At 45.2% G+C, this 16,196-nt stretch overlaps 1 long non-coding RNA gene across 1 annotated transcript, besides 3 other annotated features; it reads left to right on the top strand.

The window, feature by feature from the left end:
• Positions 4–863: an enhancer, noted in NCBI's record as "OCT4-NANOG-H3K27ac hESC enhancer chr12:8472951-8473810 (GRCh37/hg19 assembly coordinates)". NCBI's record gives its function as "activates a minimal SCP1, AML or CMV promoter by ChIP-STARR-seq in primed H9 embryonic stem cells {active_cell/tissue: H9 hESC(primed)}" and the evidence as "EXISTENCE:reporter gene assay evidence [ECO:0000049][PMID:30033119]".
• Positions 864–1,723: an enhancer, noted in NCBI's record as "OCT4-NANOG-H3K27ac hESC enhancer chr12:8472091-8472950 (GRCh37/hg19 assembly coordinates)". NCBI's record gives its function as "activates a minimal SCP1, AML or CMV promoter by ChIP-STARR-seq in primed H9 embryonic stem cells {active_cell/tissue: H9 hESC(primed)}" and the evidence as "EXISTENCE:reporter gene assay evidence [ECO:0000049][PMID:30033119]".
• On the top strand, positions 946–12,952 carry LOC107987171 (uncharacterized). Its single transcript, XR_007063200.1, has 3 exons — positions 946–2,070; positions 4,679–4,862; positions 12,486–12,952. It is a non-coding gene; the product is annotated as an uncharacterized LOC107987171 (long non-coding RNA).
• Positions 4,910–5,099: an enhancer, noted in NCBI's record as "active region_5932". NCBI's record gives its function as "activates an Ori minimal core promoter by ATAC-STARR-seq in GM12878 lymphoblastoid cells {active_cell/tissue: GM12878}" and the evidence as "EXISTENCE:reporter gene assay evidence [ECO:0000049][PMID:35858748]".
• Positions 12,953–16,196: the final 3,244 nt, after the last annotated feature.

Genomic DNA, 16,196 nt, shown 5'->3' with positions numbered 1-16,196 from the left:
TTAGTGGCAACTATCCAAGAAGTACAGAATGAAATAGCCCATTAATTTAGCGTTAACTGAAGCCCCTGCTTTAGCCCTCTCTAATATCTCCAAAAAAGCCAAGGAGTTGCTAAAGACGGCTCACTCAGATTCTAAGACCCTAAAGATGCCCAGTGGCCTATTTAAGAGGCTAGATCCTGTGGCCTGTAGATGGCCAAGTTGTCTGCGAACCATAGCGGCTACAGCAAGCCTGGCCCAAGAAGATGATAAGTTAACTCTAAGCCCAAATTTAACCCTTACAGCTCCTCATGCCGTAAAGACCTTGCTACAAAATGCTTCTGGCAAATAGATGTCAAATGCTCGCATCTTGCAGTATCAAAGTTTACTGTTAGATCAGCCTCGTTTGACTTTCTCTCCCACAAAGTGTTTCAATCCAGCTACACTACTTCCTGACTCAGACTCCACTATTCCTGCTCATGACTGTCAAGAACTGTTAGAAACTATCGAAACTGGCTGATCTGATCTTCAAGCTGTGCCCCTAGAAGAGGCAGATGCCGCCGTTTTCACAGACAGTAGCAGCTTCCTCAAGCAGGAAGTATGAAAAGCCAGTGCAGCTGTTACCACAGAGACAGATGTGTTGTAAGCTCAAGCTTCACCAGCGAACACCTCAGCACAAAAGGCTGAATTGATCGCCCTCACTCAGGCTCTCCGATAAAGTAGAATAAACGTATTAACATCTACAGTGACAGCAAGTACGCCTTTGCTACTGTGCATGTACGTAAAGCCATCTACCAGGAAAGCAGGCTACTCACCTCAGCAGATAGCTGTGATCCACTGCAAAGGACATCAAAAAGAAAACACAGCCATTGCCCATAGTAACCAGAAAGCTGATTCAGCAGCTCAGGTCTCAGCGAGACTTTCAGTCACGCCTCTAAACTTGCTGCCTACAGTCTCCTTTCCACAGCCAGATCTGCATGACAATCCCGTACACTCAACAACAAAAAAACTGGCTTCAGATCTCAGAGCCAATAAAAATCAGGAAAGTTAGTAGATTCTTCCTGACTCTGGAATCTTCATACCCTGAACTCTTAAAGAAACTTTAATCAGTTACCTACAGTCTACCACCCATTTAAGAAGAGCAAAGCTACCTCAGCTCCTCCAGAGCCATTTTAAGATCCCCCATCTTCAAAGCCTAACAGATTAAGCAGCTCTCCAGTGCACAACCTGCGCCCAAGTAAATGCCAAACAAAGTCCTAAACCCAGCCCAGGCCACTGTCTCTGAAAAAACTCGCCAAGAAAAAAGTAAGAAATTTACTTTACAGAAGTAAAACCACACCAGGCTTAGTACAAATACCTTCTAGTACTAGTAGACACCTTCTCCAGATAAACTAAGGCATTTGCTACCAAAAATGAAACCACCAACACAGTAGTTAAGTTTTTACTCAATGAAATCATCCCTCAATATAGGCTGTCTGCTGCCATAAAGTCTGATAATAGACTAGCCTTCCCCTCACCTATAGCTCAGTCAGTCAGTAAGGTGTTAAGCATTCAACAGAAGCTCCATTGTGCCTATCAACCCCAGAGCTCCAGGCAAGTAGAAAGCATGAACCACACCCTAAAAAACACTCCTACAAAATTAATCTTAAAAAAACAGTGTAAATTAAGTAAGTCTCCTTCCTTTAGCCATACTTAAAGTAAGGTGCACCCCTTACCCGGAGAATTTCTCACCTTTTGAAATCATGTATAAGAAGGCGCCGCCTATCTTGCCTAAGCTAAGAGATGCCAAATTAGCAGAAATATCACAAACTAATTTGTTACAGTACCTATAGTCTCTCCAACAGGTACAAGATATCATCCTGCCACTTGTTCGAGGAGCCCATCCCAATCCAATTCCTGACCAAAGTCCTGCCATTCTTTCCAGCCAGGAGACCTAGCGTTTGTTAAAAAGTTCCAAAAAGAAAGACTCGCTCCTGCTTAGAAAAGACCTCACACCGTCATCCTCAGGACACCAGTGGCTCTGAAAATAGATGGCATTCCTAGTTAGATTCATCACTCCTGCATCAAAAAGGCCAACAGATCCCAGCTAAAAACGTAAGTCCCCAGGCCTAAGTCAGTCCCCTTAAAACTGCACCTAAGTCAGGTGAAGCCATTAGATTCATCCTTTTTACTACCTCACTTACTTGTTTTTGCCCGTTACATCCCCTGTGCCTTCCTACTCCTTTCTCCTCACCTCTTTCACAACAGGACGTGTATTTGCAAACACCACTTAGAAGGCCAGTACCTCCAAAGAAGTCTCCTTTGCAGTGGATTTATTTGTACTATTCCCAAAGCCAGCCCATACCCACGAAAAGCAACACAATCTGTCAGTCCCAGGAGCAGGAAGTGTCGACCTTGCAGCAAGATTCAGACACTCCAAGAGCCAAACTAAGTGTAGAGGCTCCAAAAGTGCAGAAAAAAGACTCCAAAATATTGGCTTTTACCTCTGTCCTAGAAATCACCCTGATGTTAGCTGTCAAGATACTTATCAGTTTTTCTGCCCTGATTAGACATGTGTAACTTTAGCCACCTACTCTAAAAGATCAACCAGATCTTCAACTCTTTCCACAAGTCGTGCTTCTCATCCTAAATTATGTACTAGAAAAATTGTAATCCTCTTACTATAGCTGTCCATGACCTTAATTCAACTCAATAGTATCATGGCATGTCATGAAGATTAAGATTTTATATCCCAGGATTTAATGTTAAGACTATGTTCACCATCCAAAAAAACCCTAGTCTCATAAAGCCCACCCAAGCCAATCAGGCCTTTAACTGATCTAAGTAACCCTATGTTCCAGAAACACCCTGACAAGTTGATTTAACTGTTCCTCCACCATTCTTAGTCATAAAAGATACACTCCAGACAGTGCAAGAACATCTAGATAAGCGCCAACAAGAACAAGAAAATAACATCCCCTAGTATCAAAGCATGTTCAACTAGAACCCAGAGCTAACTATTCTAACTACTAAGTTAGCCAGACCCCCTCCCAATCCTACTATTAAGTCTAATTTTTAGACCTTGTATATTAAATTAGTTTATTAATTTTGTAAAACAACACATAGTTTCTGTCAAACTTATGTATCTTAAGACTCAATATAACCCCCTTGTTATAACTGAAGAGTCAACGATTTGATTCCCCAAAAACACAAGTGAGGAATGTAATGCCCAACCTTGTTTTTACTAACCCTGTTCTTAGACTCTCCCTTTCTTTTAATCACCTAGCCTTATTTCCACCTGAATTGACTCTCCCTTAGCTAAGAGAGCCAGACAGACTCCATCTTGGCTCTTTCACTGGCAGCCCCTTCCCCAAGGACTTAACTTGTACAAGCTGACTCCCAGCACATCCAAGAATGCAATTAACTGATAAGATACTGTGGCGAGCAGTATCTGCAGTTCTCAGGAATTCGTCCAATTGATAACGCCCAAAGCCTGGCGTCTATCACCTTGTAATAGTCTTAAAGCCCCTAGACCTAGAACTGTTTACTTTCCTGTAACAGTTTTTCCTTTTAACTTTTTTGCCTACTTCTGTAAAATTGTTTTAACTATTTCCCCCCCTCCCCTTTCTAAACCAAAGTATAAAAGAAAATCTAGCCCCTTCTTCGAGGCCGAGAGAACTTTAAACGTTAGCCATTTCTTAGCCGCTGGCTAAATAAACAGACTCTTAATTCGTCTCAAAGTGTGGCATTTTCTCTAACTCCCTCAAGTACAACACATCCAGCAGGCACGTAATCCACTCTAAAATGCTGTCCTGGGGTAGTGAAGATGATGTTGCTGGAAATATCCTTAAATGGCATGGGGATGAGTTCCTCCAGAGGCATACATGTTGAGCTAAGTACTTTGCTGATGAAGGGTACAAGTTGAAGGGGTTTTGAAAGGCAGAGTGAGGTTCCTCAGAAGCCTGTTGCTACAGAAAGCCAGGAGGAGAAATTACATGGCCAGATAGAGTGGCACGACCATTGGATAAGGACTTTTTGTTTGTTTTTCAGATGGAGTTTTACTCTTGTTGCCCAGGCTGGAATGCAATAGCACGATCTCAGCTCACTGCAACCTATGCCTCCCAGGTTCCAGAGATTCTCCTGCCTCAGCCTCCCTAGTAGCTGGGATTACAGGCATGTGCCACCACGCCCGGCTAATTCTGTATTTTTTGTAGAGATGGGGTTTCTCCATGTTGGTCAGGCTGGTCTTGAACTCCCGACCTCAGGTGATCCGCCTGCCTTGGCCTCCCAAATTGCTGGGATTACAGGCATGAGTCACCGTGCCCAGCCTGGATGAGGGTCTTTAGCAAAGATGGAAGTTTTGGTACCTTGCAGTTTAGTCTCTTCATTTATGTCCTCCTGAAATCTTCAGGAATAGCACTATTTTGTCAATACTTCTGGGGTCGTATTTAGGGGGACTTAAAGGAGATGTGATGTGGCAGCCTTTGACTCAAGGGAGTATCATACTAGCTCAAAGAGATCTGGGTATATGCCAGTTGAACCAACTCTTCTGAGGATGTGATAGATCCTGGGAGGCCACTCTGATCCTGCCAACCTTGAGGCCAGATGAGTCTTTGAAAAACATGGTTTGGCTTAACACCAGCACTTAGTCTAATACCCGCCATGAATCTTGCTGAACTGAAGCTATACAAATACCTTTTCAAAAGATTTTTTTTCATTCCAGATCCTTCTTAGAAATTCCTAAGGCTCAATGCTGTGTGGAAGATTCTGAGAAAGAAAATAGTTTCCGATCTTTGGGATTCCCGAGATGGTCCAATCTGCAAAAAGTTCATTGCCATTTCCATCAAGGACACTGAGAACAAGAGTCTTATCTGGATTGGATCCTGGGAATTGAGAAGCTTCAGCAGGTGGGAAATGCACCCTCCACAGGCTCACACCCTTGTGGGCTGTTTCAGTTACCTATTGCACCTAAAATTAGAAACTTTAAACCACCACAAGCCATTATTGCTCATGACCCTGTGAGTTGCATGGGGACTTCCTGGCTGCTTTAACCTGGGCTCATTTGTGTGGCTACCTGCAGCTGGAGGGCCAGCTGGGCGGAACATCCAGGACGGCCTCATGCATGTGCCTGGCAGTTGGTGCTGGTTGTCAGCCGGGGAAGCTTGTTTTCCTCCATGTGGCCCCTCGCCCTCCAGAGCCCCTCTCCAAATGGCCCTTTAAGCAGGATAGCCAAGGTTTGCTTGGTGCCAGCATCCAAGAGGGCAAAAATATGGAAACTACGAGAGGGCTTTCAAGGCCTAAGACTATATGCACCCCAAAAAACTGAGGTCTCAGTTAATTCAGAAAGTTTGTTTTGCCAAGGTTGAGGACGCTTGCCTGTGACACAGCCTCAGGAGGTCCTGACAACATGTCCTTAAGGTGGTAGGGACACAGCTTGGTTTGATACATTTTAGAGAGACATGAGACATCAATCAATATGTGTAAGATGTACATTGGTTCAGTCTGGAAAGGCGGGACAACTCCAGGTGAAGGTGAAGGTGAGACAAGGGGAAGGGGCTTCCAGGTCACGGGTAGTTAAGAGACAAATGGTTGCATTCTTTTGAGTTCCTGATTAGCCTCTCCAAATGAGGCAATCAGATATACATTTATCTCAGTGAGCAAAGGGGTGACTGAATAGAATGGGAGGCAGGTTTCCCCTAAGCAGTTCCCAGCTTGAGTTTTCTCTTTAGCTTAGTAACTTTTTTTTGGGTGGGGGGACAGAGTCTCGCTCTGTTGCCCAGGCTGGAGTGCAGTGGTACGATCTCGGCTCACTGCAACCTCCAACTCCAGGGTTCAAGCAATTTCCCTGCCTCAGCCTCCCAAGTAGCTGGGATTACAGGCGCCTGACACCACGCCTGGCTAATTTTCATATTTTTTAGTAGAGATGGGGTTTTGTCATGTTGGCCAGGCTGGTCTTGAACTCCTAACCTCAGGTGATCTGCCCGCCTCAGCTTCCCAAAGTGCTGGGATTACACGCATGAGCCACCGAGCCCAGCCTAGCTTAGTGATCTTAGGGTCCCAAAATTTATTTTCCTTTCACGGCTAGAAGTTGGTCACCATCACTTTGGCAGCATTCCACTGGCCAAAGCAAGTCATAGGCAGCCCAGATTCATGTAGAGGAGTATAAACTCTACCTCTTAAAGAAAAGATTGGTTCAATTACACTACACGAGCATTTGCAGAAAGTTGTACCCATCTTTGGAAACTACCACACACACACACACACACACACACACACACACACCTTTACATGCAACCCTCCCTTGAGGTGCATCTACTTCCAGGCAGAACCAAATCTTGACAGTACTCGACAGAAGAAAAGTAATGTCCTAAATGCCAGCTCTCTTCTTACTCAACTTCAGCCTCATTATAAGCAGATTCTAACAGTTTATGTGTCTTAAGAAACATTTTAATTAATCTTTGGAATTTAAGAATTTCAATTCATAGCAGTAGCCTATGCATAGGAAATACGCATATTGTAAGTTTTTCCTTTCTGATAAATCATTCTGGGGGAACCACAATGTAACTTTTTTTTTTTTTTTTTTTTTTTTGAGAAGGAGTCTCACTCTTTTGCCCAGGCTGGAGGGCAGTGGCATGATCTTAGCTCACTGCAACCTCCGCCTCCCTGGTTCAAGCGATTCTCCTGCCTCAGCCTCCTGAGTAGCTGGGATTACAGGCGCACGAGACGGGGTTTCACCATGTTGGTCAGGTTGGTCTCGAACTCCTGACCTCTGATCTGCCCACCTCAGCCTCCCAAAGTGCTGGGATTATAGGCGTGAGCCACCGGCTCACGTATACTGTGACTGTATATTGAAAGTTTCTCTTTTTTTCAAATAATTAACAGGTTTAACAGAATGTATCTCCTGATCTATTCTTTTCACTGCAGACATCTATTGCCTTTTCAGCCTAGCAGCCCTCCCCTCTATGGAGACTCACACTTCCTACTCCACTCATGTGGCTCTCATGGGGGCTGCAATGTTCTCAAATGACTCCACCCCTCTGGCCTCAGTTGATTGGTCCAGGGATGAGCATCTGGCCTAAATTGGCCAATCAGAATTCTTCCCTTGAATATTTTTCCAAACTGGAACTAGACCAAGTTAATCATTCTCTGTGATGACAGGAATTGTGTGTAGTGAGAAATACAGGAGCTTTTGTGGCCACGTTCCTCGCCTTATGCAGAAAAGGCTTGAGTAAGAAGAAATTAAGCCAGTATGCAGACAAAGCTAGAGACAGAGATAGAGAGATCTTGTGGTAAGCCCCTTGGTTTTTATCATTCTAGTACATGCTTGCTACTGCATACAACCAAGACTTTCACCTGAGGGCTTTCTCAAAGTCAGGCATGGAGTATGTCAGAAAAGCCACAGAAGCCAGGTGCAGTGGCTCACTCCTATAATCCCAACACTGGGAGGCCGAGGCAGGTGGATCACGAGGTCAGGAGTTCGAGACCAGCCTGATCAACCTGGCAAAACCCCGTCTCTACAAAAAATAAAAAAATTAGTGGGGCATGGCGGCAGGCGCCTGTAATCCTAGCTACTCAGGAATCCGAGGCAAGAGAATCGTTTGAACCTGGGAGGCAGATGTTGCAGTGAGCCGAGATCATGCCATTGCAGTCCAGCCTGGGTGACAGAGCAAGACTATGTCTGAAAAAAAAAAAAAAAAGAAAAAAGAAAAAAGCAAAGCCAGAGAGTTGATGCCATGGGATCAGTCCTCAGCAAGTGACGGATAGGAGCCAGGCTATAAATGCTTCAATATCTTTGCCCCCTGGATGGAACAACTTTGAAATGTATTCCACATCACCTCCCAGAGGTCCCCAGTGGGGTCAAATCCTAGTTGCCTGGAGTGGTAAGCTGCTCATTGAAGCCCCCTGTGTGGCCTCCTGCCTTTCCATGAATCAATTCCTCACTCCTCTATTGGTGTTCCCTGGAATCATCTCCTAAATAATCCACTTGCAATCCTGTCCCTCTTTCAGGATCTGCTTGGGGTTGGGGTTGGGGTTGGGGAGTGCAGAGAAAAACATGATCCCTTTTCCACTCCACACTAGTAAGATGAGTTTCTGTCACTGGCAACCAAGAGTTCTGACTATTACCTCCTGAGATAATTCCTAAAATGTATTTGGGAATTTCCCCACCTCCACCCCACTGCCTATGTCATCAATATGTAGATTTCTTAACAAAGTTTAATGGTATTCTTTGATCAACCTCAAGTTTCACAAAACACACTGCACTTTCATAAGGGCTCCCCATGGCTGACAGATCAGCCGTTCAAAAGAAGGGAAGTGTCAGAGATCGCTCTGCTAGACTCACGTATTATTCAGTAGAATCTGGGTCAGGATGTTGTGGTCGGGAGATGCTTCTGGAGCTCTGGGACCCACAAGCCTGCGTGTCATGGTGGAGTATTAGGACAACTTGAAAACATAGTGGCAGGAGGAGGCTTCCTCTCTCCCCTGCAGTTCATCCTCCACCACACCCAATGTGCTCAATAGATATTGGTTAAATGAATAATGGGGCGAGCATGGTGGCTCACACCTGTAATCCCAGCACTTTGGGAGGCTGAGGCAGGTGGATCACCTGAGGTCAGGAGTTCAAGACCAGCCTGGCCATAGAAGCAGGAGAAGCACTTGAACCTGGGAGGCAGAGTTTACAGCACGCTGAGATGGCACCACTGCACTCCAGCCTGGGTGACAGAGCAAGACTCAAAAAAAAAAAAAAAGGATTTATTCCTTCCAAACTGCAGCTCACCAAAAGAACACCAACACGCATCACAATGTTGTGGCCATAATCACCACAGTGACAATAATAAATATAATCAACTGTCAAGCCAGCCACCTCCACTAAACCTAGTGGATCACATCTGGTGTTTCACTTTGGGGATACTTTAGTGGTCATAGTAGATTGTCGCCTGACTGCTGGCTGTTTCTACCATGTTTCAGGAATATAGAGATGTGTACAGATGACCCCTAAAATTAATTAGTATGCAATTCTCAAAGAGACAAACTGTACCCCAAAAGCTACTGGAATGAAAAAAAAAGTTTTACTTCTCAAAGAGACAAACTAGGTAGTAGAAGCATTTATGTTCCCTTGGAGAATCTTCCCACCAAGGACTCAAAGTTTTCTCCAGACCAGGGAATGCCTGGGGCCTTGGAGGTTCCCAATTCTGGTATCATCTCCCATTCTCCTTTAGGTCCAGTTTTCTCAGAGGGGCATGCATTGTTCATTGCCACCAAGGGTATCCAAGGACACAAACTGAAGATAATAGTGCCTTATTGTCTCTCAGTCATCTTTCTCTCCCACATGCTGGAAGGAGAGCCAAGTCCAATTTATCCAATTACAAAATAGCAATATTGGCATCATGAGATCACCTAACAAAACTTTCAGAGGCAATCTATCTTCCTACCAAAAGTAACCAACATCTGTGGAGCACTTACCATGACTAAGGGTCAACATAAGTGGTTTGCATGCTGCATGCATCAGGATGGACTAGGTTATGCTGCAGTAACAAATTAACCCCAGAGTCTCAGCAGCTTAGCAACCAAGGTTGATTTCTTACATTACATGTCCACAATGGGTTGCCTGGGTATGATGTGCTCCATATGGCCACTCAAAATCCTAGAATGACGGAAATTCTACCATCTTAATGCAAGGATTCTCCCATAGTTACTGCACCAGGAGATGAGAGAATGAGAGAGTTATTCCCAAGCCCTCAAAAGCTGTAGACTAGAGGTGATGTCAGTGACTTCCACTTATAGAGCACTGGACCCTGGCATGGATCCATCTAACTACAGGGGGTCTGGGGAATATGGGAAGCACCTGGAAATCCCATGAGCAGTAACCATTCCTGCCAGCATGCATTATTTCATCTGAACCTCACAACCACATGAAATATAGAACAGAGGCTTGGAGAGTTATGGGACCTGCCGCAAGGAGTCATAGATAATGAGTTTCAGAGCTGAGATATGACCCTCGGCCTGGCAGGATTCAAACCACTATGCTGCATACTCATCACAAAATGCTATGAAATTCCTCATACAGCAAAACAGCACACCAAGTAAAAAGAAAGCCAAGTTGTGCAAATACAAAATAGAACTCCCCTGACACTTCACCTCCTCACCCACCCCACCCCCACCGAAAGAATCAACCTACGCAAATAACTGGAATGAAATTCTCAGGCAATTTCAGCAGGGGAAATGGGGTTATCTCATCTGGGTCTCACATCCGACCTCGTCAAGACAAGACCTTCCCTAAACCTCACCTGAACACCTGGACACACCGTCATGTCTTGCCGCTTCTTGTTACTGGAAATCCAATGATGATGTCTTTATACAATTTATAGGTCTTTCTATAAGTGCCAAGATAAATGTCATCTCTGTACCTGCATATCATTCAGAGCTAGGCAAGCTTCTATGTAAAGTGCTAGATAGTAAATATTATAAACTTTGCAGGACTCATCTGAACTCCATCCTATATATTTTTTGTTTTTGTTTTACAACTTTTTTTCTTTTTAGATTGGGTCTAAAAAGAAAATAAAACTTATCCATGTTGTGATATGGATGAACGTTAAAAACATGCTCAGTGAAACAAGCAGACATGAAAGGTCATATATTGTACAATTCCATTTATATGCAATGTTCAGACTAAGCCAATCGACAGAGATAGAAAGTAGATGAGAGGTTTCCAGGGGCTGCAGGAGGGGGTATGCAGAGTGACTGCTGAATGGATATGAGGCTTCCAACTGAGGTGTTGAAAAAGCCCTGAAACTAGGTAGTGGTGATAATTGCACAACATGATAAATGTACAAAATGTCACTGACTTGTACACTTTCAGATACACAAAATGGTAAATGTTGCATATATTATACCACAATTTTATTCATTTATTTTAGAGATAGAGTCTCACTCCATCACCCAGGCTGCAGTGCAACGGCACAATCATAGCTCACTGCTGCCTTTACCGCCTGGGCTCAAGCAATCCTCACACCTAGTCTTCCAAGTAGCTGGGACTACATGTGAACCCTACCACACCCAGCTTTTTAAATTTTTTTATAGAGTTGCATTCTCGCAATATTGCCCAGACTGGCCCAAACTCCCGGCTTCAAGTGATTCTCTCATCTCAGCCTCCCAAAGTGCTGGGATAACAGGTGTAAGCCATCAGGCCAGGCAACTTTTAATTCTTACGCGAAATTTTCAACTAATTCCTAGGATTAAAAAGATGTCGATCAACATGGGGATTAGAGGAAAAACTAATTTTAAACAAGAGAAAAAATTAAATGAGATGATGTACATGTATACAGTGCCTGGCCTCATGATCACCGAGTCCACTGCAACTTTTTATTTTTTTTTCCATACAGGGTCTCACTCTGTCACCCAGGCTGAGTACAGTGGCATAATCACGGCTTACTGCAGCCTCAACCTCCTGGGCACAAGTGATCCTCCCACTTCAGCCTCTCAAGTAGCTGGGACTACAGATGCACACAACCACACCTAGCTATTTTTGTTGTTGTTGTTGTATTTTTTGGTAGTAGCAGGGTCTCACCATTTTGCCCAGGCTGGCATCTTGAACTCCTGGGCTCAAGCGATCCTCCCACCTCAGCTTCCCAAAGTGCTGGGATTACAGGTGTGAGCCACCATGCCCATCCTGTTGTAGCTATTTTAATAGTGCTGGTGAACAATAATTTGCTCTCTCTATAAAAACAGGACATAATAAGCCAAGGAAAGCACCAATCTAGTTTGTTCTCCCCAGATCTTCAAAATGTTGGAATTAGTATAAGAGTCCAAAATATTTCATGTGGTTTGATTTTTTTTTTTCTTTTTTTTTTGGAGATGCAGTCTCGTTCCATCGTCCAGGTTGGAATGCAGTGGCGCAATCTCGGCTCACTGCAACCTCTGCCTCCCGGGTTCAAGCAATTCTCCTGCCTCAGCCTCCCGAGTAGCTGGGATTACAGACATGCACCGCCATGCCTGGCAATTTTTGCATTTTTAGTAGAGATGTGGTTTCTCCATGTTGGCCAGGCTGGTCTTGAAATCCCGACCTCAAATGATCTACCTGCCTTGGCCTCCCAAAGTGCTGGGATTACAGGTGTAAGCCACCATGCCCGGCCAGTTTGATTTTTTATTGTGGTAAAATACATACAAAATCTATTATTTTAGCCATTTTCAAAGGAAAAATTCAGTGGTGTTAAGTGCATCCACCACATTGTACAGCCATGTCCCCCATCCATCTCCAGAATGCTTTCATACTGTCCTGCAAATATGCAGCACCTTGCTACACTCCAGTTTGTTTGTCCCACAACAGAGCTGGGCTGAATTATTAATGTGGACTTCGTTCAACAACGGACTAAAGAGGGAGAAGCCCATGAACTCTGTGAGGAGTGCATGACAGGTGCTCGTGGGATGACATGGCTCGGCGCCCTCCAGCTGCTGCTGCCGCTGCCTGTCCTGCTGGGCGGCCACCCCCTCCCAGGGAAGAAGAGCACTCACTACTGCTGCTCATCTTCCAGGGCTTCCGCTGGGACTAGGATCAGGGTGTGGACACCCCCAACCTGGACCGTCTGGCCGGGGAGGGCATCAAGGCCAATTACCCATGCAGCCCCCTGTCACAATGACCTCCCCATCCCACTTCACTACCATCCCAGGTAAGCGTCACTCTGCCCATTTCATCCGATGCCCATCAAAGCCCCAGCGTCCGTCATTCCCTGTGATAAGAAGCAAAAGCTCGGTCAGCTCTAGGGAGGCTGAGGCGGCTCCGGGGCCTCACTCTGTTGCCCAGGCTGTAGCTCAGTGGCATAATCACAGGTCAGTGGAGCCTCAAACTCCTGGTCTCAAGCAGTCCTCCCTAGCTCAGGATCCCCAGTAGCTAGGGATACAGACAAGCTACCATGCCTAATTTTCTCATTTTCTTAGAAATTGGGGAAGGGGGTGTCTCACTATGTTGCCTGGGCTGGTTTTGAACTCCTGGCCTCAAGTGATCATCCCACCTCAGCTTCCCAAAGTGCTGAGATTGGAGACACGAGCTACCGTGACTGGCCTGTTCTTTTTTAAAAAAGTAAATAAGGCCGAGCATGGTGACTCACCCCTGTAATCCCAGCACTTTGGGTGGCTGAGGCAGGTGGATCACCTGAGGTCAGGAGTTCAAGACCAGCTTGGCCAACATGGTGAAATGTCGTCTATCCTAAAAATACAAAAATAAGCTGGGCGTGGTGGCAGATGCCTATAACGACAGCTACTCGGGAGTCTGATACAGGAGAATCACTTGAACCCAGGAGGTGGAAGTTGAAGTGAGCCGAGATCATGCCATTGCACTCCAGTTTGGGCAACAGAGCAAGATTTTGTCTCAAAAAAAAATAAAAGTAATAAAAATAAAAAGGTAAATAACTAAAATCACTTTTAAATAATTGTATAAAAATAATGAAACCTTGACATTTACAGAGCTCAGTTAGATGAGGTGACTCATACCCTCCAATGGTGTCCTGGTCCTCTTACATAAGAACTCAAATGTCTTTTTGTGGCCCAAAAGATTCCACACAGCCTGGCCCCTGGCCCATCTTCTGCATCTCTCTCATCTCTCTCCCTCTCCTTCACTTCCTTCTAGATCACAGACCTTTTGCCTGTGCCTTCTGCCCTGCTCCTTCCAGCCCCAGGGCCTTGGCCTATGCTAGTCCAGTCTCTCCAGCTCACCAGGAGCATGCAGTCCAGTCGGGGAGACAGACACCAGACACCCAAACAGGCACATACATCCTGTGACAACTCAGGAGGCATCAAGGAGGAAAACGAGTTTTCCAGGCACAGACTACAGGGGTAAACTGGCTTCAAACTAGAGAGGGAGAAAGGGGGTCTCTGAGCATGGGGCAGTTGAGCTGAAAGAGATCTCAGGGGACCACAGCAAGGAAAAGTGTTCCAGGCAGAGGGAAGAGCATGTGTGAGGTCTCTGAGACAAAGACCTGGTCATTTCAGAATCCCAGTGGCCACTAAAATAGAGGGATTCCAACCTAAAAAGGAGGAAGAGGAGGCTGCTGGAAAGCAAAGAACTCTGTGTAAGAATCATAATAGCGGGGGTGGAGCCAAGATGGCCGAATAGGAACAGCTCCAGTCTACAACTCCTGGCATGAGCGATGCAGAAGACAGGTGATTTCTGCTTTTCCAACTGAGGTACTGGGTTCATCTCACTGGGGAGTGTCAGAAAGTGGGTGCAGGACACTTGGTGCAGCACACCAAGCATGATCCTAAGCAGGGCGAGGCATTGCCTCACCCGGGAAGTGCAAGGGGTCAGAGAATTCCCTTCCCTAGTCAAAGAAACGGGTGACAGATGGCACCTGGAAAATCGGGTCACTCCCACCCTAATACTGCACTTTTCCCATGGTCTTAGCAAACGGCACACCAGGAGATTATATCCTGTGCCTGGCTCAGAGGGTCCTAAACCCATGGAGCCTCACTCATTGCTAGCACAGCAGTCTGAGATCAAACTGCAAGGTGGCAGCAAGACTGGGGGAAGGACGCCCACCATTGCCTAGGCTCCAGTAGGTAAACAAAGCAGCTGGGAAGCTCCAACCGGGTGGAGCCCACCACAGCTCAAGGAGGCCTGCCTGCCTCTGTAGGCTCCACCTCTGGGGGCAGGGCATTGGCAAACAAAAGGCAGAGAATCCTCTGCAGACTTAAATATCCCTGTCTGACAGCTTTGAAGAGAATACTGGTTCTCCCAGCATGCAGCTGGAGATCTGAGAATGGAGAGACTGCCTCCTCAAGTGGGTCCCTGACCCCTGAGTTGCCTAACTGGAGGCACCCCCTCATAGGGGCAGACTGACACCTCACATGGCCGGGTACTCCTCTGAGACAAAACGTCCAAAGGAACAATCAGGCAGCAACATTTGCTGCTCACCAATATCCTCTGTTCTGCAGCCTCCACTGCTGACACCCAGGCAAACTCCAACAGACCTGCAGCTGAGGGTCCTGACTCTTAGAAGGAAAACTAACAAACAGAAAAGTCATCCACACTAAAACCCCATCTTTACGTCACTATCATCAAAGACCAAAGGTAGATAAAACCACAAAGATGGGGAAAAAACAGAGCAGAAAAACTGGAAACTCTAAAAATCAGAGTGCCTCTCCTCCTCCAAAGGAATGCAGCTCCTCACCAGCAATGGAATAAAGCTGGACAGAGAATGACTTTGACAAGTTGAGAGAAGAAGGCTTCACACGATTAAATTACTCCGAGCTAAAGGAGGAAGTTCGAACCCATGGCAAAGAAGTTAAAAACCTTGAAAAAAAATTAGACGAATGGCTAACTAGAGTAACCAATGCAGAGAAGTACTTAAAGGACCTGATGGAGCTGAAAACCAAGGCACGAGAACTACGTGACAAATGCACAAGCCTCAGTAGCCGATTCGATCAACTGGAAGAAAGGGTATCAGTGATGGAAGATGAAATGAATGAAATGAAGCAAGAAGAGAAGTTTAGAGAAAAAAGAATAAAAAGAAATGAACAAAGCCTCCAAGAAATATGGGACTATGTGAAAAGACCAAATCTACGTCTGATTGGTGTACCTGAAAGTCACAGGGAGAATGGAACCAAGTTGGAAAACACTCTGCAGGATATTATGTAGGAGAACTTCCCCAATCTAGCAAGGCAGGCCAACATTCAAATTCAGGAAATACAGAGAACACTACAAAGATACTCCTCAAGAAGAGCAACTCTAAAACACATAATTGTCAGATTCACCAAAGTTAAAATGAAAGAAAAAATGTTAAGGGCAGCCAGAGAGAAAGGTCAGGTTACCCACAAAGGGAAGCCCATCAGACTAACAGCTGATCTCTCAGCAGAAACTCTACAAGCCAGAAGAGAGTGGGGGCCAATATTGAACATTCTTAAAGAAAAAAATTTTCAACTCAGAATTTCAAATCCAGCCAAACTAAGCTTCATAAGTGAAGGAGAAATAAAATACTTTACAGACAAGCAAATGCTGAGAGATTTTGTCACCACCAGGCCTGCCCTACAAGAGCTCCTGAAGGAAGCACTAAACAGGGAAAGGAACAATCAGTACCAGCCACTGCAAAAACATGCCAAATGGTAAAGACCATCAAGGCTAGGAAGAAACTGCATCAACTAATGAGCAAAATAACCAGCTAACATCATAATGACAGGATCAAATTCACATATAACTATATGAACCTTAAATGTCAATGGGCTAAATTCTCTGATTAAAAGACAGACTGGCA

This window comes from Homo sapiens, chromosome 12 (assembly GCF_000001405.40).
Source record: "Homo sapiens chromosome 12, GRCh38.p14 Primary Assembly".
Lineage (NCBI taxonomy): Eukaryota > Metazoa > Chordata > Mammalia > Primates > Hominidae > Homo > Homo sapiens.
This window is presented reverse-complemented; position numbering and strand designations above follow the sequence as displayed.